At 40.9% G+C, this 24,943-nt stretch overlaps 1 protein-coding gene across 2 annotated transcripts in view; it reads left to right on the plus strand.

Annotated features, from left to right (window-relative positions):
• Positions 1-24,943, plus strand: part of FRAS1 (Fraser extracellular matrix complex subunit 1) — a 486,947-nt gene that overhangs the window by 286,600 nt on the left and 175,404 nt on the right. For both annotated transcript variants that reach the window (NM_025074.7, NM_001166133.2), the window contains exons 21-22: positions 19,591-19,743; positions 19,986-20,132. In NM_025074.7, the coding sequence (NP_079350.5) occupies positions 19,591-19,743; positions 19,986-20,132 (300 nt within the window). The remainder of the gene's footprint in view (positions 1-19,590; positions 19,744-19,985; positions 20,133-24,943) is intronic.

Consider the following 24,943-nt stretch of genomic DNA (forward strand, 5'->3'; position numbering starts at 1 on the left):
GCTGTGGCTGCTTCTGCAGTTATAAATGGAAAGGAAGAAAAGAGCCATAAACTTTAAACATGTAGCTGTTGTTGCCTTATTTTGATCACCAAATCCTACCCATCCATCCCTCAATGCCTGGTTCAGATTCCTTCCCCTGATCACCAAATCCTACCCATCCATCCCTCAATGCCTGGTTCAGATTCCTTCCCCTCCAGGACCAGCTTCTGCTTGGCATCTCCCCTGTTAGAATTTCTAGTATGCTGATTATTTCTACCATTTACCTAGCACTTGGGCTTTGATCAGCTCACGTTCTCTGTGAGTGATCTTTTCATGGGTATCTAATAATAGGTGCCAGTTCTGAGGGCTTATTATATGAAAAGTGCTGTGCTAATTGCTTTGAATGCATTTTACCATTTAACATTCGCAATGATCCTCGAAGGTAGGTACTAATTTTATCCCCATTTTTACATGTAAGGAGACTGAAACTGTCTAACAGAGGTTAAGTACCGACTCCAAATGATAAAAGTCAGGAATGATTGATCCGAGATTTGAACCCAGAGAATGTGATTCCAGAGTCTGGAATGTGATTCCAGAGTCTGGAATGTGATTCCAGAGTACTCAACCATTTTGTACTCCATGATGCAAGTACAATTGCTTGCACACAATCGGGGCTCAAGAATGATTTTTTTTTTTTTGGTTGGTGAATTAAAAAGTGCATTGGTAGGTGGATTACTTGATTGGTGGATTAAAAGTCAGTGTGATAAATAGAGTGGCTCGGAGAGGCACTGTTGGGAAACATTGCACGAACTTGCTGGTCTGTTTTAAATGCTAAGGAAGCTGATTTAGACTGCCACATGTACATGCGTTTCCATTGTATTTGATCCTTATTAAATGAATAAACTTCAAAGAAAAACGTTAATGCATACTACATTTTAATAATTTATTTCACTCCACATTTACTTTAATCTTTTCCAATACATACATACGTGCATTGTTTTCAGTTGTAGTCAACAGCTATGGTATTTCTTTGTTCTGTTCTCTAAAATATCACTTTAAATGACGTATTTCCATATGTTGGCAAATATTGGAAGAATCTACATAATTGTCATTTTTAATGCCTAAGTCATATTCCGTTGTGTTTGGGTAACTTAATTTGGCCATTTTCCTGTTGTGGATCTGGGCCGTTAAAAGCAGGAGATAGTTTTACTTGTTGGTCCATGACTTCCAAGGCTACAGCTATGATTAGATATGTGTTTCATGTCATTATTAATACTAGTAATGGTGTGTTTATAAAGTTTTATAATTTTCAAAGCATTTTCTTATGGATCTCCTTTAATCATCCCCGGAAGCCCCCCTGAAGAATTGGAAATGCTGGTAATTCCCATTTTGTTGACTGGTGAATTAAGACTCAGTAGAGTACCAAGCTAGCACTTGGATGGTCCTCAAGAACTGTTGGGTAGAATTAAGGACTTGAATCAGCTGTCCTCATATCTAATCCTCTTCTGATGCCTCATATGATAATTATGACAAGGATCTTTCTTCTTAGTGTGAGTCATATTTTGGTTCTTATCTCCTCTTTTTCAACTTCCTCTTTATTCCTTCTAGTCCTGTTCTTCTATCTCTGTATTTTTTTTCAATTTGCTCGTGTCTTCTATTTTTTTAACACTTGCTTCTTTATTTTCCTTATCTTCTTTTTTTGTGTTTTGTAATGCACTTTCTTTTCTTATTTCTCATCTTGTCACCCTATCTCTTATTGCTTGAATCATGAATTGCATATCCACCCTCTCTACAGAACTTTCAATGATTGTCTTTCTTGCTCTCTCAAATTTTGTTTTATTTAAGAGATCAATCTCTCTGCAAAGGGGTGATTGAATATTTCAAGGCATTTATTATGTTTTTGAGCTTTTCCTTTTAGGAAAAAAGAACATGACCTATGCTTAAATTGAGTCCTTCCTAAATTAAAAAAAAAAAAAAAATCTTGTATTTTCTCCTTCATGTGACATTTACCAAACAATACCTTCTCTAGCTTTCATAATGAGAGAAGGACCTTACTTGTAAGCTTTCAGCTTGTAAAACCTCCCAACAAAGTCAGTATTGCTGTTTCTTCCTAACAACTATAGGTCAGGGCTTGAATTGCAGAGAAAGTTTTTGTGGGTGTATGTTGAAAGAACACAGCTGAATTGAGACTTACAGGTTATCCTCTTCAGTACTGAAGGTAGCAAAACTGCTAAGGCTACATTTACCTGCTTTTACACACCTGTGAATTTCTGTGGCTTACTTTTAATAGGTAAAAACAGTGAATTGATTGCAAACATGAGCATCAGCGTCAATGTTGATTCTGATTGGGCCCACTAATAACTCATGTTTATTGAACACTCATTGTGTGCCAGTTCATCACATATATTATGTCATTTAATTCTGGTTGCAAGCACAGGAAGTTGGTCCTGTGATTAGTACCATCTGCATTTTACAGGCCAAGATAAGATTAAGGATGAGATTAGAGATGTTAACCCACTTACCCAACGTGTCACAGTTAGTAAGTCCTGGAGCTGGGCTCTGAATCCAAGGAGCGCACTTCAGAGGGCACATATATGATCACTGTGTCATCAGCCTTCATCACTGATCTAGTTTCCATAAGACCCTCTCTTGCTTCTCGACATCATTTTATTCACTTCCTTTTGATGCTTTGTGGTTTTGACCCTCATGGCCTTCCCACGCACTCCCTACACACTCTCTTCACTCTCAGTCTACAACTCTGCTTTCTTTTTTGTTTAGAAGATTTATATTATCTGATAAAACAAAACAAACAAACCTCATCTTTTCTCCTCAAATCTTTCTCTTCTATTACCTCTTTTTCCTTCCTTTGAGAAAGGAGCTCCCTCATTCTGCCCTGGGGAGCTCCTCCCCCAGTGTCCCAGAGCCCATCTGCCTTCCTGAGCTGATCTCTCCACTCAGGTGTTTCCTCTTCTGCTTACAGATTCATCTCCCTCCTTTTCTCTTCATTTTTCCTGCTCCTCTTCCTCTCCCATCTTCTTTCCTCCAGGGCCCTTGTGTCTTTCACAGCTTAAATCTTCATTTCTATTTTCTCCTTAGATTTCATCCCAAGTGCATGTGATAATCCCCTCCAGATCCTCATTTCTCTCTTCCTGCTGGACATCTGATCACAGGAAAACTGCAAAGAAAACCCTTCATCTTCATCCCTCCCACCTCCACAGGTGCTTTTCTTCCTTCTCTTGACTTCCTTGTCCACCCACTACTGATTTTTCAATTGGCACAATTCAAAACCATTTAGTTACCTTTGCTTCTTGACAACCCCTCTTCCATATTGCAATCACTGCCATATCTCATAGATACTGCATATCTCTGTTTCTGCTGCAAAAACCCTAAGTGCTTCTTTCTTAGATGACAGCCTCGTTTTTCTCTTTCTGCTAGAGGGTCTTCCTCACTAAAGCTCTCCTAGTCCTTCCCAAGACGAGGGAGGAGAACTTTTCTTGAATATCAACTTTGGTTTATAAAACACTCTTTGACACTGAAAACTTGTCGATGCCTTCCCATTGCCCATTGCATTAGCTGTAAATCCTTCACCCTGATTTTCAAGGTCCCTGATTTCCTTGGTTTCTGAGTGAACGTCCAAAGCTCCAGCCATGCTGGTTCTCTTCCCCACGCCACACTGCTCTGTTCCTGTGTGCCTCTGTGCTGTTACATGCTCTTCCCTTCTAACAAGGGTGTCCTCAACTGGCACCATCTGCAAACATCAAATAAGCACTCAAGTTCAAGTTCCTCTTATTCACTTTGGATAAAATATTCTCTGATCCTTCTTTGACACCTGTTGCATTTGGGATGTGTATGTGTGTGTGTGTATGTGTGTGCGTGTGTGTGTGTGTTTTTTTTTTTTTTTTTTGGTCATCCCTTCCTAAGCATCTTGAGAGAAGGATTGAAGTCTGATTCAATCCTATATTACCTTCCACAGTGCCTCATACTCAGCTGACTTGCCATAAATGTTAATTGAAGTGAACTGTTTTCTTTTGTGGAGCTAAACTGAGTAAAACATAAATTGGATACAAAGCTTCAAGATAGGGGAGGAGCCAAGATGGCCGAATAGGAACAGCTCCGGTCTACAGCTCCCAGCGTGAGCGACGCAGAAGACGGGTGATTTCTGCATTTCCATCTGAGGTACCGGGTTCATCTCACTAGGGAGTGCCAGACAGTGGGCGCAGGCCAGTGTGTGTGCGCACTGTGCGCGAGCCGAAGCAGGGCGAGGCATTGCCTCACCTGGGAAGCGCAAGGGGTCAGGGAGTTCCCTTTCTGAGTCAAAGAAAGGGGTGACGGACGCACCTGGAAAATCGGGTCACTCCCACCCGAATATTGCGCTTTTCAGACCGGCTTAAGAAACGGCGCACCACGAGACTATATCCCACACCTGGCTCGGAGGGTCCTACGCCCACGGAATCTCGCTGATTGCTAGCACAGCAGTCTGAGACCAAACTGCAAGGCGGCAACGAGGCTGGGGGAGGGGCGCCCGCCATTGCCCAGGCTTGCTTAGGTAAACAAAGCAGCCAGGAAGCTCGAACTGGGTGGAGCCCACCACAGCTCAAGGAGGCCTGCCTGCCTCTGTAGGCTCCACCTCTGGGGGCAGGGCACAGACAAACAAAAAGACAGCAGTAACCTCTGCAGACTTAAGTGTCCCTGTCTGACAGCTTTGAAGAGAGCAGTGGTTCTCCCAGCACGCAGCTGGAGATCTGAGAACGGGCAGACTGCCTCCTCAAGTGGGTCCCTGACCCCTGACCCCCGAGCAGCCTAACTGGGAGGCACCCCCCAGCAGGGGCACACTGACACCTCACACAGCAGGGTATTCCAACAGACCTGCATCTGAGGGTCCTGTCTGTTAGAAGGAAAACTAACAACCAGAAAGGACATCTACACCGAAAACCCATCTGTACATCACCATCATCAAAGACCAAAAGTAGATAAAACCACAAAGATGGGGAAAAAACAGAACAGAAAAACTGGAAACTCTAAAACGCAGAGCGCCTCTCCTCCTCCAAAGGAACGCAGTTCCTCACCAGCAACAGAACAAAGCTGGATGGAGAATGATTTTGACGAGCTGAGAGAAGAAGGCTTCAGACGATCAAATTACTCTGAGCTACGGGAGGACATTCAAACCAAAGGCAAAGAAGTTGAAAACTTTGAAAAAAATTTAGAAGAATGTATAACTAGAATAACCAATACAGAGAAGTGCTTAAAGGAGCTGATGGAGCTGAAAACCAAGGCTCGAGAACTACGTGAAGAATGCAGAAGCCTCAGGAGCCGATGCGATCAACTGGAAGAAAGGGTATCAGCAATGGAAGATGAAATGAATGAAATGAAGCGAGAAGGGAAGTTTAGAGAAAAAAGAATAAAAAGAAATGAGCAAAGCCTCCAAGAAATATGGGACTATGTGAAAAGACCAAATCTACGTCTGATTGGTGTACCTGAAAGTGATGTGGAGAATGGAACCAAGTTGGAAAACACTCTGCAGGATATTATCCAGGAGAACTTCCCCAATCTAGCAAGGCAGGCCAACGTTCAGATTCAGGAAACACAGAGAACGCCACAAAGATACTCCTCGAGAAGAGCAACTCCAAGACACATAATTGTCAGATTCACCAAAGTTGAAATGAAGGAAAAAATGTTAAGGGCAGCCAGAGAGAAAGGTCGGGTTACCCTCAAAGGAAAGCCCATCAGACTAACAGCGGATCTCTCGGCAGAAACCCTACAAGCCAGAAGAGAGTGGGGGCCAATATTCAACATTCTTAAAGGAAAGAATTTTCAACCCAGAATTTCATATCCAGCCAAACTAAGCTTCATAAGTGAAGGAGAAATAAAATACTTTATAGACAAGCAAATGCTGAGAGATTTTGTCACCACCAGGCCTGCCCTAAAAGAGCTCCTGAAGGAAGCACTAAACATGGAAAGGAACAACCGGTACCAGCCGCTGCAAAGTCATGCCAAAATGTAAAGACCATCGAGACTAGGAAGAAACTGCATCAACTAATGAGCAAAATCACCAGCTAACATCATAATGACAGGATCAAATTCACACATAACAATATTAACTTTAAATATAAATGGACTAAATTCTGCAATTAAAAGACACAGACTGGCAAGTTGGATAAAGAGTCAAGACCCATCAGTGTGCTGTAGTCAGGAAACCCATCTCATGTGCAGAGACACACATAGGCTCAAAATAAAAGGATGGAGGAAGATCTACCAAGCCAATGGAAAACAAAAAAAGGCAGGGGTTGCAATCCTAGTCTCTGATAAAACAGACTTTAAACCAACAAAGATCAAAAGAGACAAAGAAGGCCATTACATAATGGTAAAGGGATCAATTCAACAAGAGGAGCTAACTATCCTAAATATTTATGCACCCAATACAGGAGCACCCAGATTCATAAAGCAAGTCCTGAGTGACCTACAAAGAGACTTAGACTCCCACACATTAATAATGGGAGACTTTAACACCCCACTGTCAACATTAGACAGATCAACAAGACAGAAAGTCAACAAGGATACCCAGGAATTGAACTCAGCTCTGCACCAAGCGGACCTAATAGACATCTACAGAACTCTCCACCCCAAATCAACAGAATATACATTTTTTTCAGCACCACACCACACCTATTCCAAAATTGACCACATAGTTGGAAGTAAAGCTCTCCTCAGCAAATGTAAAAGAACAGAAATTATAACAAACTATCTCTCAGACCACAGTGCAATCAAACTAGAACTCAGGATTAAGAATCTCACTCAAAGCCACTCAACTACATGGAAACTGAACAACCTGCTCCTGAATGACTACTGGGTACAGAACGAAATGAAGGCAGAAATAAAGATGTTCTTTGAAACCAACGAGAACAAAGACACCACATACCAGAATCTCTGGGACGCATTCAAAGCAGTGTGTAGAGGGAAATTTATAGCACTAAATGCCTACAAGAGAAAGCAGGAAAGATCCAAAATTGACACCCTAACATCACAATTAAAAGAACTAGAAAAGCAAGAGCAAACACATTCAAAAGCTAGCAGAAGGCAAGAAATAACTAAAATCAGAGCAGAACTGAAGGAAATAGAGACACAAAAAACCCTTCAAAAAATCAATGAATCCAGGAGCTGGTTTTTTGAAAGGATCAACAAAATTGATAGACCGCTAGCAAGACTAATAAAGAAAAAAAGAGAGAAGAATCAAATAGACACAATAAAAAATGATAAAGGGGATATCACCACCGATCCCACAGAAATACAAACTACCATCAGAGAATACTACAAACACCTCTACGCAAATAAACTAGAAAATCTAGAAGAAATGGATACATTCCTCGACACATACACTCTCCCAAGACTAAACCAGGAAGAAGTTGAATCTCTGAATAGACCAATAACAGGCTCTGAAATTGTGGCAATAATCAATAGTTTACCAACCAAAAAGAGTCCAGGACCAGATGGATTCACAGCCGAATTCTACCAGAGGTACAAGGAGGAACTGGTACCATTCCTTCTGAAACTATTCCAATCAATAGAAAAAGAGGGAATCCTCCCTAACTCATTTTATGAGGCCAGCATCATTCTGATACCAAAGCCGGGCAGAGACACAACCAAAAAAGAGAATTTTAGACCAATATCCTTGATGAACATTGATGCAAAAATCCTCAATAAAATACTGGCAAACCGAATCCAGCAGCACATCAAAAAGCTTATCCACCATGATCAAGTGGGCTTCATCCCTGGGATGCAAGGCTGGTTCAATATACGCAAATCAATAAATGTAATCCAGCATATAAACAGAGCCAAAGACAAAAACCACATGATTATCTCAATAGATGCAGAAAAAGCCTTTGACAAAATTCAACAACCCTTCATGCTAAAAACTCTCAATAAATTAGGTATTGATGGGACGTATTTCAAAATAATAAGAGCTATCTATGACAAACCCACAGCCAATATCATACTGAATGGGCAAAAACTGGAAGCATTCCCTTTGAAAACTGGCACAAGACAGGGATGCCCTCTCTCACCGCTCCTATTCAACATAGTGTTGGAAGTTCTGGCCAGGGCAATCAGGCAGGAGAAGGAAATAAAGGGTATTCAATTAGGAAAAGAGGAAGTCAAATTGTCCCTGTTTGCAGACGACATGATTGTTTATCTAGAAAACCCCATCGTCTCAGCCCAAAATCTCCTTAAGCTGATAAGTAACTTCAGCAAAGTCTCAGGATACAAAATCAATGTACAAAAATCACAAGCATTCTTATACACCAACAACAGACAAACAGAGAGCCAAATCATGAGTGAACTCCCATTCACAATTGCTTCAAAGAGAATAAAATACCTAGGAATCCAACTTACAAGGGATGTGAAGGACCTCTTCAAGGAGAACTACAAACCACTGCTCAAGGAAATAAAAGAGGACACAAACAAATGGAAGAACATTCCATGCTCATGGGTAGGAAGAATCAATATCGTGAAAATGGCCATACTGCCCAAGGTAATTTACAGATTCAATGCCATCCCCATCAAGCTACCAATGACTTTCTTCACAGAATTGGAAAAAACTACTTTAAAGTTCATATGGAACCAAAAAAGAGCCCGCATCGCCAAGTCAATCCTAAGCCAAAAGAACAAAGCTGGAGGCATCACACTACCTGACTTCAAACTATACTACAAGGCTACAGTAACCAAAACAGCATGGTACTGGTACCAAAACAGAGATATAGATCAATGGAACAGAACAGAGCCCTCAGAAATAATGCCGCATATCTACAACTATCTGATCTTTGACAAACCTGAGAAAAACAAGCAATGGGGAAAGGATTCCCTATTTAATAAATGGTGCTGGGAAAACTGGCTAGCCATATGTAGAAAGCTGAAACTGGATCCCTTCCTTACACCTTATACAAAAATCAATTCAAGATGGATTAAAGATTTAAACGTTAGACCTAAAACCATAAAAACCCTAGAAGAAAACCTAGGCATTACCATTCAGGACATAGGCGTGGGCAAGGACTTCATGTCCAAAACACCAAAAGCAATGGCAACAAAAGCCAAAATTGACAAATGGGATCTAATTAAACTCAAGAGCTTCTGCACAGCAAAAGAAACTACCATCAGAGTGAACAGGCAACCTACAACATGGGAGAAAATTTTCGCAACCTACTCATCTGACAAAGGGCTAATATCCAGAATCTACAATGAACTCAAACAAATTTACAAGAAAAAAACAAACAACCCCATCAAAAAGTGGGCGAAGGACATGAACAGACACTTCTCAAAAGAAGACATTTATGCAGCCAAAAAACACATGAAGAAATGCTCATCATCACTGGCCATCAGAGAAATGCAAATCAAAACCACTATGAGATATCATCTCACACCAGTTAGAATGGCAATCATTAAAAAGTCAGGAAACAACAGGTGCTGGAGAGGATGTGGAGAAATAGGAACACTTTTACACTGTTGGTGGGACTGTAAACTAGTTCAACCATTGTGGAAGTCAGTGTGGCGATTCCTCAGGGATCTAGAACTAGAAATACCATTTGACCCAGCCATCCCATTACTGGGTATATACCCAAAGGACTATAAATCATGCTGCTATAAAGACACATGCACACGTATGTTTATTGCGGCACTATTCACAATAGCAAAGACTTGGAACCAACCCAAATGTCCAACAATGATAGACTGGATTAAGAAAATGTGGCACATATACACCATGGAATACTATGCAGCCATAAAAAATGATGAGTTCATGTCCTTTGTAGGGACATGGATGAAATTGGAAACCATCATTCTCAGTAAACTATCTCAAGAACAAAAAACCAAACACCGCATATTCTCACTCATAGGTGGGAATTGAACAATGAGATCACATGGACACAGGAAGGGGAATATCACACTCTGGGGACTGTGGTGGGGTCAGGGGAGGGGGGAGGGATAGCATTGGGAGATATACCTAATGCTAGATGACACATTAGTGGGTGCAGCGCACCAGCATGGCACATGTATACATATGTAACTAACCTGCACAATGTGCACATGTACCCTAAAACTTAGAGTATAACAAAAAAATTAAAAAAAAAATAAAATAAAAAAAAAAAAAAAAAAAAAGCTTCAAGATACATGGTAAGAGTGATGCTCATGACGTGTTGTTGGCAGTGCAAGCTGGCACCAAAACCTAGAGCTTTGCTTTTACATTTGACACTGCCACTCGCCACCTCCCCTTACCCTCCCCACTTCAAGCTGTTTCCTCGGCTCCTACGGCAGCCTTCCCAACACATTGGTGAGTTTGTCTACACTGGGTAGAAATCACTGCCCTATAACATGAAGGTCATTCTGTTGTCGTGTTTTATTTGGTTAGTTTTTTAAGAGTAAAACAATAGCCACAGACACTGAAGAAAGAAGTCTCATTTGGTTGGTTGGTTTTGTTTTGTTTTGTAGCTTTTGTACTAATTCAAAGCCTCTAAAGAGAATACATGATTTGTAACAGCTTACGGGTGGGCTGAGCACAAAGTAATGATCAAAAGGGAAAGAGATAGGATGCTTCTTTTTCTTCTGTCATCTGTATGTTATTTTCTGGATTCCTGCCATACTTATCTCACAAGCAGAAACCCATCAATTTTAAAAGTGGCATTAGAATTCAAATTCTATGCCCTTTAAAGGCCCTGAGTTTTGGCATGAAATCATTTCTTTTTCACCTGACGAAGAACAGCTACAAGTGCTGATTATTTTGACCACTTCCAAATACACTTAATGTCGTTGCATTAAGAACCTAATGGACTGACAGGACATTATTAAAAATCTCACTGTGTGTCTAAATTTGTCTTTATAGGTCATTATTTATCAGCTAAGGAGTCACTGCTCCATAAAACCAACATCCAAAGCCATTGCGTCGACAGTACACATTTACTTTAATATCTTCAAGCTTTTTTGATTTTGATCCAAAGATGTGAAATAAATTATTTCACTGCCATGTGCTTCCATCCGTCATGATTGTGGGTAATCCTCACTGATCCTTGAAGCAGAGCCTTTGTGATTTGAAGAAAGCATCACATATTGATGACCACATGCAATTTCCTCACAGCTGCAGGGTGACATATTAGAGGATTCTACAGCTGCTGAGTCAAAATATTAATATTTTTATCTGTTTAAATTTCTAGCATGTCTACGTGCTGTGCATATTTAGAAAACAATTGGAATCTTCTGCTTGCTTAAAAACAATAAATGCATTTATTTCAGCTGGAGCTAATACTCCATTTTCGGGCTACCTTGTAATGTGTTTATTAATTTGCTTGTTTACAGTGCTAATTTACTGCATTTATTAGCAAGGAGGTACATATACAAACAACTGGAATTCCATCTGTGCTCCCCCCACATACTTATTATACATCAGTAATCTGAAACAGCCAAAGCATAAATGTATCCTGGGCCTCTCTTCTTTCCTTGTGACTCTTAATGAGTCTTATATTTAAAGACTCTACTGTAATTGCAATAGTGACAAACAAGAATTTACTTGCTGAGTAGTAGCGGGAGGAATCTGAGAGACAGGCTCCAGAATAGGCACTGTTTTTAAGGAATTAACGGATACACGCTCCCTATTTAAACATATTTGAGGTCAGCCTGCCTTTTTTTGATTACAGGCAGGAAGGTCAGATGCAGATGCCTTACTGCACAGATGGGGCTTTTTGGATGGGACATTAATCCTTGCAGAAGCTGCTAGAGTGGTGGGTTGGAAATTCAATTCCCTTATTTTAGTAATTGCAGTCTGATACAAGTTAAACAGTGACCGTATACACTTCCTCTACTGTGTCCTGTGAAATTGTTTTCAGTATCACCTGTGGGCAGGAACAGGCATGGAAGGCAGACTGGAGTATTTTAGGGGGAATTCACCCTGGAATTTGTTGGTCTCTCTGAGGATGCTGCCATTTTAAGGACACAGTTTCTGACAGATGTGCTTCTATGGTGTGGGCCCATCAAAGATCTGAATTAGAGGGCTCATCAGACGGTTACCACCAAATAAGAAGAATTCACGAGTTGCCTCCCAATCAGATTAGTTTGTAGAAAATATGCCCATAGACTTTACTGTGAGTAAAATGACTGGTGTCATAGCAGTTTATTGGGTCACATAGTTACCTCCCACGGTGCCTACATGTGGGGCTCATACCACCTCTTAATTATGTTTAGATTGTATAATTAATACATTTGGCTGGCCACGGGGGTAGTTCTGTCTCTTTATTATCTCCAATTGTAACTGACGAGACAGTTGGAAATTGTCACACATGCAGCCGAGTAGCACCCTTTTTCTCCTGGCCTGAAGTGGATTTTGAAAACCAGGTGATGCAACCCATATTGACCTTTTTCGTGGGCCTTCAAATTCTCCATGATTTCCTAGTATTTTTACTCCAATAACCTTTTCCCCCCTCTAACAACTGTGTGGGAGCTACCTACTCGGTACCACTGATTTGGCCAAATTCCACTTTGTTTTCCTTTTAAAAGGAGTTCTGAGAACTGACCATGAGTGAAAAGGTCTTCCCCAGTCATGCAAAGAGAAACCACAAGTGTGTTTTTCTTCCTTCTCAAGGATCTCCATTCCTGGTCACAATAGTTTTCATGTATTTGCATCATAATATTCTTAATATGCCTACTCCAGCATAAGCCCCTTGAGAACAATTCAGCAGAGGGATGTTTTTGGCAGAAAAGGGGCTTCTGCAGATGCAATGGAGGGGAGGAGGGGAGAGAACAGTTAGGAGCCTGCTTTCCTCCTCCAGCAAGGGTTTCATGGCAAGAGCTGTTGTATGTCAGAGTTTTCTTAGATTGTTAGTTTTCTGCTTTGGTTTGATGTCTTCTCCTAACATGAGTTGCCTTTCATATAAAAAAAATTCTCATTTAAATCTATAACAAAAACACAGAGACCTTGGTAAATAAACTGAAAAAAGACACACACACACACGCATACACACACAGACAGAGAGAGAGAGATTCCCAATTGCCTTTACCATAAAATCCAGACTTCTTTTCTTGACTTACAATGTCTTGCAAAACTGGCCTACCCAGGTACCGAGAGGCTCTTTTGTGTGTTCTTTAAGATCCAGCCATGTTGAACTTTTCTCAGTTCCTTGAAGGCATCCTGTTCTGTTCAACTTCTGGGTTGCCTAAGCTTTCCCTCCTCTTGGAACCCTTTCCAAACATTCTCCCCCTGCCCTGCTCCTGTTGCAGCTAACTGCCACCAGTGTTCTTGTCTCAGCCTCCTCTGGGAGGTCTTTCCTGGCCCTTGGACTAAGTTGGTACCCCTGTTATGTACTTTCATGGCACCCTATCATTATCCCTGTAGCATTCTACAGGACGTTTGTAACAGTCTCATGCCAGTCCTCCACCTCAGTGTCCACCATGTTTTCAGGTTGCTCAGCACACTGTGTCCCCATGACAAAATTTGGAGACAGCCCTCTTGAAGGCAAGAAACATAGCCCAAGCCCACTCTACTATTGGAATCTTGAACATTCTACTGGGTTACTTCCAACCTGTTCCATAAGAGGGGCAGGCAGGAGCAAAGGGAATGGTTCCTCTGCTTTTTCTTCCCCTTCAGTTTGAAGGTTTTTTAGGTTGGGGTAGGGAGATGGAGAGTGTAGGGGTTGTGTTGGTGGGGGGCCTGGGTCTGTTAGTTCCAATGCACATTAAAGAACTTTTTCGGCCGGGTGAGGTGGCTTATACCTGTAATCCCATCACTTTGGGAAACCAAGGAGGGAAGATTGCTTGAGGCCAGGAGTTTGACACCAGCCTGGGCAATATAGTGAGACTCCTGTCTGTATGAAAAATAAAAGAATTAGGCGGACCCGGTGGTACACACCTATAGGTCCAGCTACTCAAGAGAATGAAGCAGGAGGATCCTGGAGCCCCGAGTTCAAGGTTTCAGTGAGATATGATTTTGCCTCTGTACTCCAGTGTGGGCAACAGAGGGACACTTTGTCTTACCAAACAAAAAAGACAATTTTTTTTCTTTCTATCTCCTGTGCCCTGGGTTCTATAAGTATAGTGTCTTTGTAGGTCTGATTTTGATAGCTTTGGGAACACATGATGACCCCATGCTTCCTGGTCCAATGGGGGATGGTGACAGTGGATGAGGAAGGAACTCACTGATTGACACCTCAGTTTATTATTTGATTGTGCATATTAAATACTCAATTAAAATGATACATCCAGAATCATTTCCCCCACCATGCTGAAAATTATAGGAGTATAGTAGCCATTTGAATGTTTTTGTTGTTTCAATGAAAAAAAAACTCTTTTCATACTTAACCTCACTTATAATAAAAGAAACACAAAGTAAAACAATGACAACTCCGATTTTCACCAACCAAATTAGCCAAGGTTGGTTTACTGTTTTTAAATTTCTTAGTGCTGGTAAAATTATGATGAAACAGTCTCATAAATGGCTCTTGAAATACAAGTCGATAGGAACTTTCTGGAATGAAATTTATAATATCAATTAAGAATTTTACATTTTTTTCATGCTTGTAGTGGTTAAAATGTTATGCTCTGGACTTAGTCTATATATGATATGTGTAAGCAAATGACTTAACCTTTCAGAGTCTCAGTTTCCTCATTTATAAAATGGGGATAATAACAGTGCCTACTTTTTCTCTTCAAATGAAATTATGTGTTTATAATAATTAATATTTTGCCCAATGTATATTCAGAGCTCAGTAAATGTAAACTATAATAATAATATGAATTGTACCCTTTCAACATAGTCCTTTAGGAAATAATCTGAGATGCAGACAAAGATTTATGCACAAAAGTGTTATCATAGCCTTAGTTATAAAAATGGAGACAAATTATAAGTAAATATTCAAACTGTAAGAAAAATGGCAGTTTTTTTGTTTGCTTACTTAATACTGGAATATGATGTCGCTGCTAAAAATGATGTTTACAGGAGTCCCTAATGACATGTGGGAATGCTGATGATATTGAGTAAAAAAGGTACTATAGTGTCCACATTTAATTTAATCTAATCTATGTAAAAATCTCTATATGTAAAATTGTATAGAAAAAGCACTAAAAGAAAAAATGTCATCGTTAGTAGTTATTGACCCCGAACTACCATGCTGAGGGTGATTTTTATGCTTATTTATACTTTGTAAAAATATTTTTCATGTTTCCTTCTCTTCCATGGCTTACTTTGTAGTCAGAAAAATAAAACCTCTAGATCCCTGTCTGAACCTGCTCAGCCCTTCTGTGTAGATCACAGCATCCCCGGGCTTGTACCTGAAGCCTGCTCACAGGTGGTGCCCTGTGGGGTCGGCTACTCGTAGCCTGTCTTGCCTGAGTTTTGTAGTCTGCCCTAGGGAACTATACTTTTCTGTTATAAGTCAGAACATTGGTATTAATCCTCAAGCCCTTGTTGCTCTGATTTCTGGCTTCTTTCCGTGGAGATCGTTACTCATTTTGAGGTCTCCCAAGAAACTCTCTCCTACAAAGAGATTTTGACTTCAAGCCTCTGAAGACAAAAGTGTTCCCTAGGTTTTGGGGACTTATTATTCTTTTTGGCTTGATTTAATAAAAATCAGTCAACCAACCTTGAGAGCCTAATGATATAATTGGTCTTCTGTTGGGGGATTGCATATGATGGAGCTGGGAAGGAAAGTTTGCATGAGTGGATTAACATGGGTCCCACTCAGGTTGTTGCTTTGGAATGAGTCTATTCACAGGAGTGGGTGTTCAGCATGACTTTTTAAACCGTAGAATGAATACAGGTAGTGAACAAAAAGAGTTAGAGAGTTGAACTTTGCACACTCGAGTATTTGTAATCTCCTGTGTGAGGTAGAACTATAAACTAACTTGGATAAATGTGATGTATTGGGCAACTTGGAGTTGATCATTTTATATTTTCAGGTGTCATGTACTGATTTCTCCTTTGACTCTGGGCACTCACTCCATCATGCAGTATATGTTTGGGGACTGATCTGATGCCTTCTTATGGCTTAACATGGAGCTGTGGAAGGAAGCAGAGGCCCTGAGTAATTTCAGAGTCTCTCCAACTCTTCAGACCTTTCCATTGATTTCTGGCATCTGTGTACCCAAATCTGCCAAACCGCCATGTCTGGTTTGAGAACTCCAGAGACTTGATTAGGAGGATAGAAAAAGTTAAAGGCTGTGAGGAACCCATATATTTATAAGTCGGTTGGAGGCACAGAAAGAGAACCCAGCCAAGAAGAGCACCTGTGTCACTCATGCTGAGAGGAGAGAGTTTTGAGAAGGAGGGCTGCTCAGTCAACAGTGCCTTGTGTTGCAGAGATTTCAGGTAGGATAAGGAATTAGAGGAGGCCATTAAATCTGGTCCTTAAGAGGCCATCAGAGACCTTTTCAAGAGCAATACCACAGTAAAATATTTTGAAGACAGATTTACAATGAAGTGAGGAGTTAGAGAGGCAAGGAAGTTGGGTAGTTAAGGGAAGGCAAGAGATGAGTTGTTTGTAGAGAAAAGTTTTTAGGACAGTAGGCAATGGAGAGCATAGTTGGAAGTTAAGGTTGAAAAGAGAGATAGGGGAAAACAGGTGGAATAATATTGAAAATTGGATCAAGAATATAGGTGTAGGCATTAGCCATTTTATCCTGGGAGAAGGGAGGAAATGAAATAAAAACAGGAATAGATAGACGTTTTGAGGTGAAAGGAATGAATCCAGCATGCTCTGTTTAGTGATGTAGATGAGATCACCTGGGAAGGCATGAATGGGCGGGCAGAGTGGGGTAGTGACTTCAGAAGAGTAATAAGGGTTGAAAAGCACTGCTGGGTGAGGGGGAAGGAATGTCCATAACCTGGCTCCAGCTTCCTTTAGAATAATTAACACACGTTACACTCCTTATTTAAACAGAGATCCCAAGATCAGATAAATCCATAATTACTTATTTGTTGTACCCACAAAATACTATAGGGGTCTGCTTACTTTCTCTTGAAAGCATCCCCTTGGTAATTATTCTTTTATGTTTCTCTAATTGCATGCTAGAGAAAGCATCTGTTAGATGCAACTAGTCTTTAGACCACTGAACACCTGCAGATCTTGGTGATGCATGCCCAAGTTCAGAAAGCTCTGAAAGAAGTTGCTTTAAAGAGGATAGGCCATGGCTTTTCAGATAACGGAGCCTTGAATCTGTAGTGTTTCCTAGGTTTCCAATCCTAACATTTACCCACTTGTTAAGGTAGTCATAAAACACTATCACCTTCATTTGCTCTTGCAACTTTTGAAGCTTTTTAAATTTCCCTTCACACAGCTGGGATTGTGCTCCTGGCACTGTAAGGAAGGCATAGGGAAGAGAGAACAAAGGGCTTGGCATTATGTGGAAACCATACACCAAATCTGGGGAAAGTAGTCTCCTTCTCATATTTCCCTCAATGCAGTCATAATTTCCTTTGTAGTTTACTGAAGGACTGAAATGAGGATTAATTTGGGTCTCAGGATATCATGAATTGTTCCTAATATTAGCAAAAGGCTGCTTGTAATTTGTAACTCCCAAAGTTCACAGAAAGGTTTGAGACTGTTAGTTTGTATGTTGCCAAAACAATCAGCATTTTTGAGGCAGACTCTTGTGGCTTAACTTCTGGGGTGGCTATGAAGGTCCTCTGAAGGGTTCTCATGTGGATGAGTGGGCACTGGACATGAAAGGGAGATCTGCTTCGTGTACAGGGAACACATCCAGATGATCAACAGTTAGGATCACCAACAGTGTACAGAGAAAGACCTGTTTTTAACAGATTCCAGGGGCAGGAATCTGTTTTACCAACATGGATTTTCTAGAAATCACAATCTCTACTACAAGCGTTGAGATGAAACAAGACATTTTGGGGCCATGGGTGGTGCATTAGCGAGTACAAACAAATGCTTTGAATCCTACAGGGGAAGGTGGGAAGGCCCCGTAACCAGAACTCTTTCTTTTCTCTTTTCTAGATCTTACTCCTTTTTCATTTGAGGTGGGTAAATTGAGATTCGTGGGTTTTCTCCTGCCTTTGGGTTAAAGGATGATAAATGGGACTTAAAGGGTAATTACCACTTGAAAGCAGGAAGTTTTCACCTACAAAGGAAGCTGAACACAATCAAGTTCTTTATTAAAGAATGACTATTATGTGAGTGAGAACAAGAGACAGGGCTGTCTGGACAAAATAATTTGTTTTATAGCTTTAATCCCAACTGGTATTACAGAGCTACTGTGCACTATGTATTGGGTCATAAAAATGACTTTTCAACTCACAACTCTTCTTCATAACTTTATCTCCAGTTAAAGACCAAAATTTTCCAGCAACTCAATCCAATTATTTACTAACCTCAGTCCATTCATACTGAAGGCTGAGACTGGTATACTGACTCTGGAAGGCCAAATCTGTGAGAAGGAGCTTTGCAGAGGGCTCAGGAGCCCTGTTGATGCAGGATTTTTCTCAGCTTGTTTGCCGGACTCATGGCAGCGGCACCTCATTTACTCAGCCTGCTGTGCTCAACCCCTTGTAGGAGAAAGCATGTATGTTAGTGAGTGCAGGATCTGGCTGGCCACTCCGGGCATTGACACAAGAGCAAGCTCCATGGGGGGCCTGCAGCCAAACCAGGCATGTTGCCTCAAGGGAAACATGGTGGCACCCAGGTGGTGTGTTGCCTTGTTGCTGGGGTGGTTTCCCTCCGCTGGTGAGGGCAAAGGGCTGGTGTGACAGCCTTTTCTGGGTACTGGCGCTTGGTGGGTCCCAAGCTCTTGTCCGGTGTCTGAGAAGAATGGGGTTACACAGAAAATTGAATGATGGTGAAAGTGGAGAATTTTGTTGAGTGATGAAAACATTTCTCAGAAGAGAGTGGAGCTGGAGAGGGGACGAGAAGGACAGGTCGTCTTTCCCCAAAATCAGGTTGTCTCTTCCCCAAAGTCAGGCTGTCTCCCCTCTACTGACTGAGTCTGGGATCTTTATAGGCACAGGATAGGGGTGGGGCATACCATAGGTAGTTTTGGAAAAAGCAACATTCAATTGGTAAAAAGGCATGATTCAGAAAGAACCAATTGGGAGAGGGCAGGCAAACAGGAATATAAGTACTTACTTTGGACTTTTGGCCATGGGTTTCAGGCTGTTTTTTGTTGTTGTTTTATGGTGAAGGTGGGGTTTCACCAGGGACTCACCCGCCCTGTCCACCTAGAATTTCTCTGCCTCCTGCCTCTATTACCGTGAAGGGGTTGGGGGAAGCTGCACTCCAGTCTCAGACCCCCAGGGGAGATGTTGATAGTATTATCTTACTGCTTCTGTTAGTCAGGAAGTTCTCTCTATACTCCTAGCAAGTATCTATCACGTGACACCCTCGTATCTAAAGGTCATTCCGTTGGAAAGGGATGAAAACTCAATCACTGTGCTGGGCCTGGCCATTTGCTAAAAACCTCAAACACACAATTTGTACAGGTCCCAAGCTTCTACTTTACTGATATACACTGCCTTTGGGCTACTCTCCAGCTGTCAGCTGCAGTGTTTGTAATTGAAATCTCTTCTGCCCTTCTGTGCAGTGATGAGACTTTGTGCTCATGAGCACCCGTGCCTTCTCTGTGCTCCCCTTCCCCCTCCAGACTGCCATCACCTGTGCCAGCACTGTGCAGCTGATCTCCACAACACTGGGAGCATCTGCCTCAGGTGCCAGAATGCCCACTACCTGCTGCTCGGGGACCACTGTGTTCCTGACTGCCCTTCAGGATACTATGCAGAGAGAGGAGCTTGTAAAAGTGAGTAAGTGCTGGACTCAGGAGCTGGAGCTGCCACCTGAGGTTCTCTTGGGGCAGTAGCTGGGAAGGATCAACCTTTCCTAAGAGAGAGTGGAGGCAGGAAGTGTAAACCACTTCCATGGGACTGTAAACCAGACTTGCCAATGTTCTCAGTGTTGGGACTTTATTACCCACACTTGGGGTGCTGCTTTGGAAGAGAATCTGACATCATGGTTTCTGTTGTGTCTCTTTTTCCTCTGCAGAATGCCACTCCTCCTGCAGAACCTGCCAGGGCAGAGGACCTTTCTCCTGCTCCTCATGTGACACCAACCTCGTGCTGTCCCACACTGGCACCTGCAGCACCACCTGCTTCCCTGGGCACTATCTTGATGACAATCATGTTTGCCAGCGTAGGTTTTTCCAATGAACCTTCTCTCCTTTCCTTCTTTTCCTGCCTTTCTGGAGCCATTGAAAGAAATGCGAGGTTCTTACTTCCATCTTCTCACCTGGTAGCCTTTATTTTTATAAAAGGAAGAAAACCAATCTACAAAGGCAGTAAGGTTGCCATTAGCAGATTATGGCTCAGATATCAGCCTAATCAAAAGTGCTGGGCTTGGCGGTGGGGTCTCCTCTGTAAATGCCAGCTGTATGATCTTGGGCAGGTTATTTAACTTCTCTGTCCAGGTTATCTCATTTAAAAAATAAAAGTGTTAGTTTGTTTCATCTTTATAGTTTTTCTCAGCAATCCCATTCTATGACCCTAGGCAGAGAGTGGAGCTTGCTCTAGTATGCAATCAGTGGACTAAGCACGTCTCTGGATTTAATTTGTTTTCTACATGTGTTTGTGAATATTGACAGTGTACAAGGTTTTGCATGCTGGAAATATTCCATTTCTGCCCAAACAGTAGTTATTTGGACTTGTATGGGAGTTACTTATATAGATGTCTTATTTCTCAAGTAAGTCAGAATATGATTAATTACCTTGAGTCAGGCACAAAGGGTTAGGATAAATTAGGGAATGGGTAAATTTGCCTGAAAAAAAATTAAGATATACTTCACAGATGAAGGAACATTTATGATAGGCTGATGCCACTTATTTTATCTCAGTCACCAAAGTGTCATTTGCAAAAACAAAAAATTGTTATACTTTTGAAAATGATGGTTAACAAATATAGTGGTAGTATTTCAGTTGTGTGTTCTAGGGGTACCATGCTGAAGGAATTGTGGAGTAGTGGTTAGGAGAGTGGGCTCTAGAGTCAGAGAATTGAAGTTCAAATCCTAACTGCTACTTAGAGCTTTATGACCTTGAGCAAGCCAATTAACCACTAGGCCTCAGTTTCTTTTTTTTGTAAAAGGAAGATAATAACAATACCTACATTCTAATGTTATTACATTTAATACAGACCATAGTGGAGAATAAGTTGTCAGTATTGATTAACGATTATTTTGTTTTTATCATCATCATCTAAAATGAGAGGCAAATAAAGTAGTAAAGATATTTCTATTTTATAGATAGGAAGATAGATATTACTGTTAGTTTATTGAGATCCTTGCAAAGATTTGCATTAGTTATATGAAACTCACCCTTTTGCATCATCTGTGGAGGTACTGGAGATCTAAAAACAAACTTTTTTGGGCTAGTGGGAAGATTGCTTTTGTAACAAAAACCTTGCTTTGTGTATATCAACTGTCTGCCAGAATCTGTAGATTCTGTAATATAAGAGACAGGAATGAAATACTTCCATCTTCTATTCAGGAGCAAGAGAGTGCTGGTGGAGAAATAGTGACTTAGATTTATTAGGCTCTTCACAGCAGTGGAATCACAGAAATAAAAGTTCAAAAGAAAAAATAGAATCCATTGTATGAAGTATAGGTGACAAAAATACATTGCATTGAATTATTTCTCTTCTGGGAAGTTTTTGTCTTGGGGCAGGGTGGCCTCTGCACAAACACATTTGCTATGATCCCATGTAAATAGAATTTCATAGAATATTTCAGTTGGATTAAGAATTTCCTAAGTTTAGTCCTTAAATTTCATTCTGAGATTGAAAAAATACGCTCCTAAGTTGGGATATTTGAGTTTCTAGTACATTAAAAAAAAAAAAACAAAAAAAAAAAACAGCCTGACCAACATGGTGAAACCTCATCTCTACCAAAAATACAAAAAGAACTAGCAGGGCATGGTGGTGCACACCTGTAATTCCAGCTACTCGGGGGTGCTGAGGCAGGTGAATCGCTTGAACCTGGGAGGCGGAGGCTGCAGTGAGCTGAGATCACGCCATTGCACTCCAGCCTGGGTGACAGAGCAAGAGTCTGTCTCAGAAAAAAAAAAAAAGATTCAACACGCTCTATTCTAATACTCATAATTATAGACAATTATAGGCCTGCCAATTTTAGAAATTCTGCAATAAGGGCTTTTGAGGAAATGTAATCAGTATTAAGGGAGGCAGTCATAACCAAATTATTGAAGGAAGTAAGGACTGGAGAGCTTTCCAGATATTCTAGTTATAGGAATCTTTCGAGAGGATGTACTATTAACTGAATTAAAAAATCTAAGGGTCACCAGTTGAGGTAGGAACTTTAAAAAAGAGATGATATGTAAGGTTCTGAGTACTTGAAACCATAGTGCTTTGGTATTGGAGGAGAATTCCAGAGTTACTCAAGCCAATCTTGCACCAGTGCAGAGACTCTTTTTCACTCACCCCCACAGACTTCCACGGAAGAAAGCCGGTTCCACTGCTGGGGAGCTAGAGTAGTTGGAAAGTTGTTTTTAATTGGCCCTAGAACTTGCCTCCAAAGTGGTATAGAATAAGCTTCCTCCTTCATTCACACAATTACTGTCATTCCCCACCTTGACATCTCTGTGCCATGTAGACCCAGAGCCAATGGAGTATTGAAGTAGGAGTGGATGACCATTTCTTAGACCTACAGCAGAAAACAAGTCTGTTTAAGAAGGTGATTGAACCCCCACACTGTGAGGTCCCTCTGCCCTTTCAGCACATCACAGATGTGATGGTTACAGCACATCCCAGCTTCCCTCAGTGGTTTCTGGTCGACTCTGCCACTTTTTCACTGTCCTCCTGCACTTGCTGTGGGGGTCACTGACCTCAGAGAACTGCCCCTGCTACTCCAGGTGTGGCCACACCAAGATGTCTGCGTCAGTACTAGTAAGTACTTTGTGGGGTCTGAATGTAATACCACGGAAGCTGAGAACCCGAGGGACGTTGGTACCTACAGAACTGCTCTGTGTCAGACAGGGTCAGCCATTTACTCATTACTTTGGAAAGGGATAAGAGGAAGAAGTCATGGAAGCCACCTGTTTCTCAGTGTGACACTACTGTGTCCCTCCAAATCCTCCATAAAGTCTTCCAGCAATTCAAAATGCTCAGCATGAATCCATTTCTTTTAGAAGTGAGTGAAGGTGCTGAGGTATACATCACGGTTCCACGGGGGAATGAGTACTTTGTAGAAAGATTCAGGCCTGGCACAGTGGCTCACACCTGTAATCCCACCACTTAGGGAGAGCAAGGTGGGAGGATCATTTGAGGCCAGGAGTTTGAGACCAGCCTGGGCAAAAAAGTGAGATCCTGTCTCTAGAAAAAATTAAAAAATAAGCTGGGCATGGTGGCATGTGCCTGTGGACCCAGCTATATGGGAATCTGAAGCAGGTTTGCTTGAGCCCGGGAGGTGGAGGCTACAGTGAGCTGTGTTCATGCCACTATACTCCAGCCTGGGTGACAGGGTGACAGAGTGAGAACTGTCTCAAAAAAAAAAAAAAAAGAAGATTCAGGAACACAGCGGCAGGTGGAAGTAAGTCATAAGAAACCCTCAGACACTAGGGCAAGAAATTGGCCTTGACCCCTGGCTGGGGAACTGGCATTCGGGGACCTCATTTTGCAGCTCTATGTCAAGAAAAGAGGACCAGCTGACCCTTATGTTGCATATCATCACATTTTTAGTTACTATCAAGACTGTTACTGACTAAAAATCTTAGATTTTTTTTTTTCTATAGGAACTGCTATCTAAGCAGGTCTTCTTCATCCTGTATTTGTACAGTTGGTTTTAGAACATAAATGCGGGACTTTTCTTAGAGTTCTGCTTATTTCACTTGGTTACTGTAGGTTCATTATTTCAACTGGTTAAGGTAACTGAACTGTTGTTCTTCCAGCTGGTGAAACTTAACTATGTATGTTTTCTATATAGGTGCATGTGGCATATTTAAATATTATTGACATGGTTTCTTTGTTTCTATTAAAGTCATGGATAAAAATATTGATCAAGTAAGAAATTAAGGCCTAATTAATGTGATACTCTGCTGTGGACCTATTTTTATCAATTATAAAGATTTGCTGATCATATTTTGAGTATGCTTTTCAACCACCTTCAAATCCACTTACAACTAGTAGGTCTCACTTCATTTTTGTATTCACAAGTTTATTTTTGGAATCTCTATCAAACACTTTGCCAAAATTAAGATACACCATGCATAAAAATTCTAGCAAAAAAAAAGGGATAAAAATTTGGTCTCATCTAAGCTTACAACAGTTAAAATATTCTTTTCTAATTATTGAAAATAATTAGAACTGAAAATCCAGTCTAGAATTTTCCCAGGACCTTAAATTATCAATATGCATATTCTAATGAATGTTTTATAACAATGTCTTTCTTTGTAGGTGAAACAATAGCATTCTTTTTTTTTTTCAGGGAGGTAATTTTCCTGCACTGTGCCATATACTTTGATATCATATAGATCTAAAACTCACTGGGTTTCTCTCTGTACTTTTCCTCTGACACGTACTTAGAGAAGATTTCAGAATGAGACAGAAATGCTGGTGCTTGTATATACCTTATGCAATATCTGGCTTTATTTCTTTTATGTAGCAAGTGTTCATTGAACACCTACAATATGACAGATAACCAGCTAGGTGCTGACTAACATTACAAGGAACAAAACAGACCTGTTATTTGCTTTCATGAAGTTTGCAGCCTAAAAGATACAAATGTTAATCAAATAATCACTCAAATGGAAATTGCTATACATGGCATGAAAAACATGTAGAGCATGCTATAATGCAAGGCCTGTTTTAGAATAGAAAGTTAACAAAGGTCCCAGAAGAAGAGACTGAAGAATGAGTTAAGAGTTAAAGACTCGGAGATTATATTAAGAGGATTCAAATATGCATGTTATAATAGGATTTCCAGGTGGAGAGAATGGAGGGAA

The sequence above is a fragment of the Homo sapiens genome, chromosome 4 (assembly GCF_000001405.40).
Source record: "Homo sapiens chromosome 4, GRCh38.p14 Primary Assembly".
NCBI lineage: Eukaryota > Metazoa > Chordata > Mammalia > Primates > Hominidae > Homo > Homo sapiens.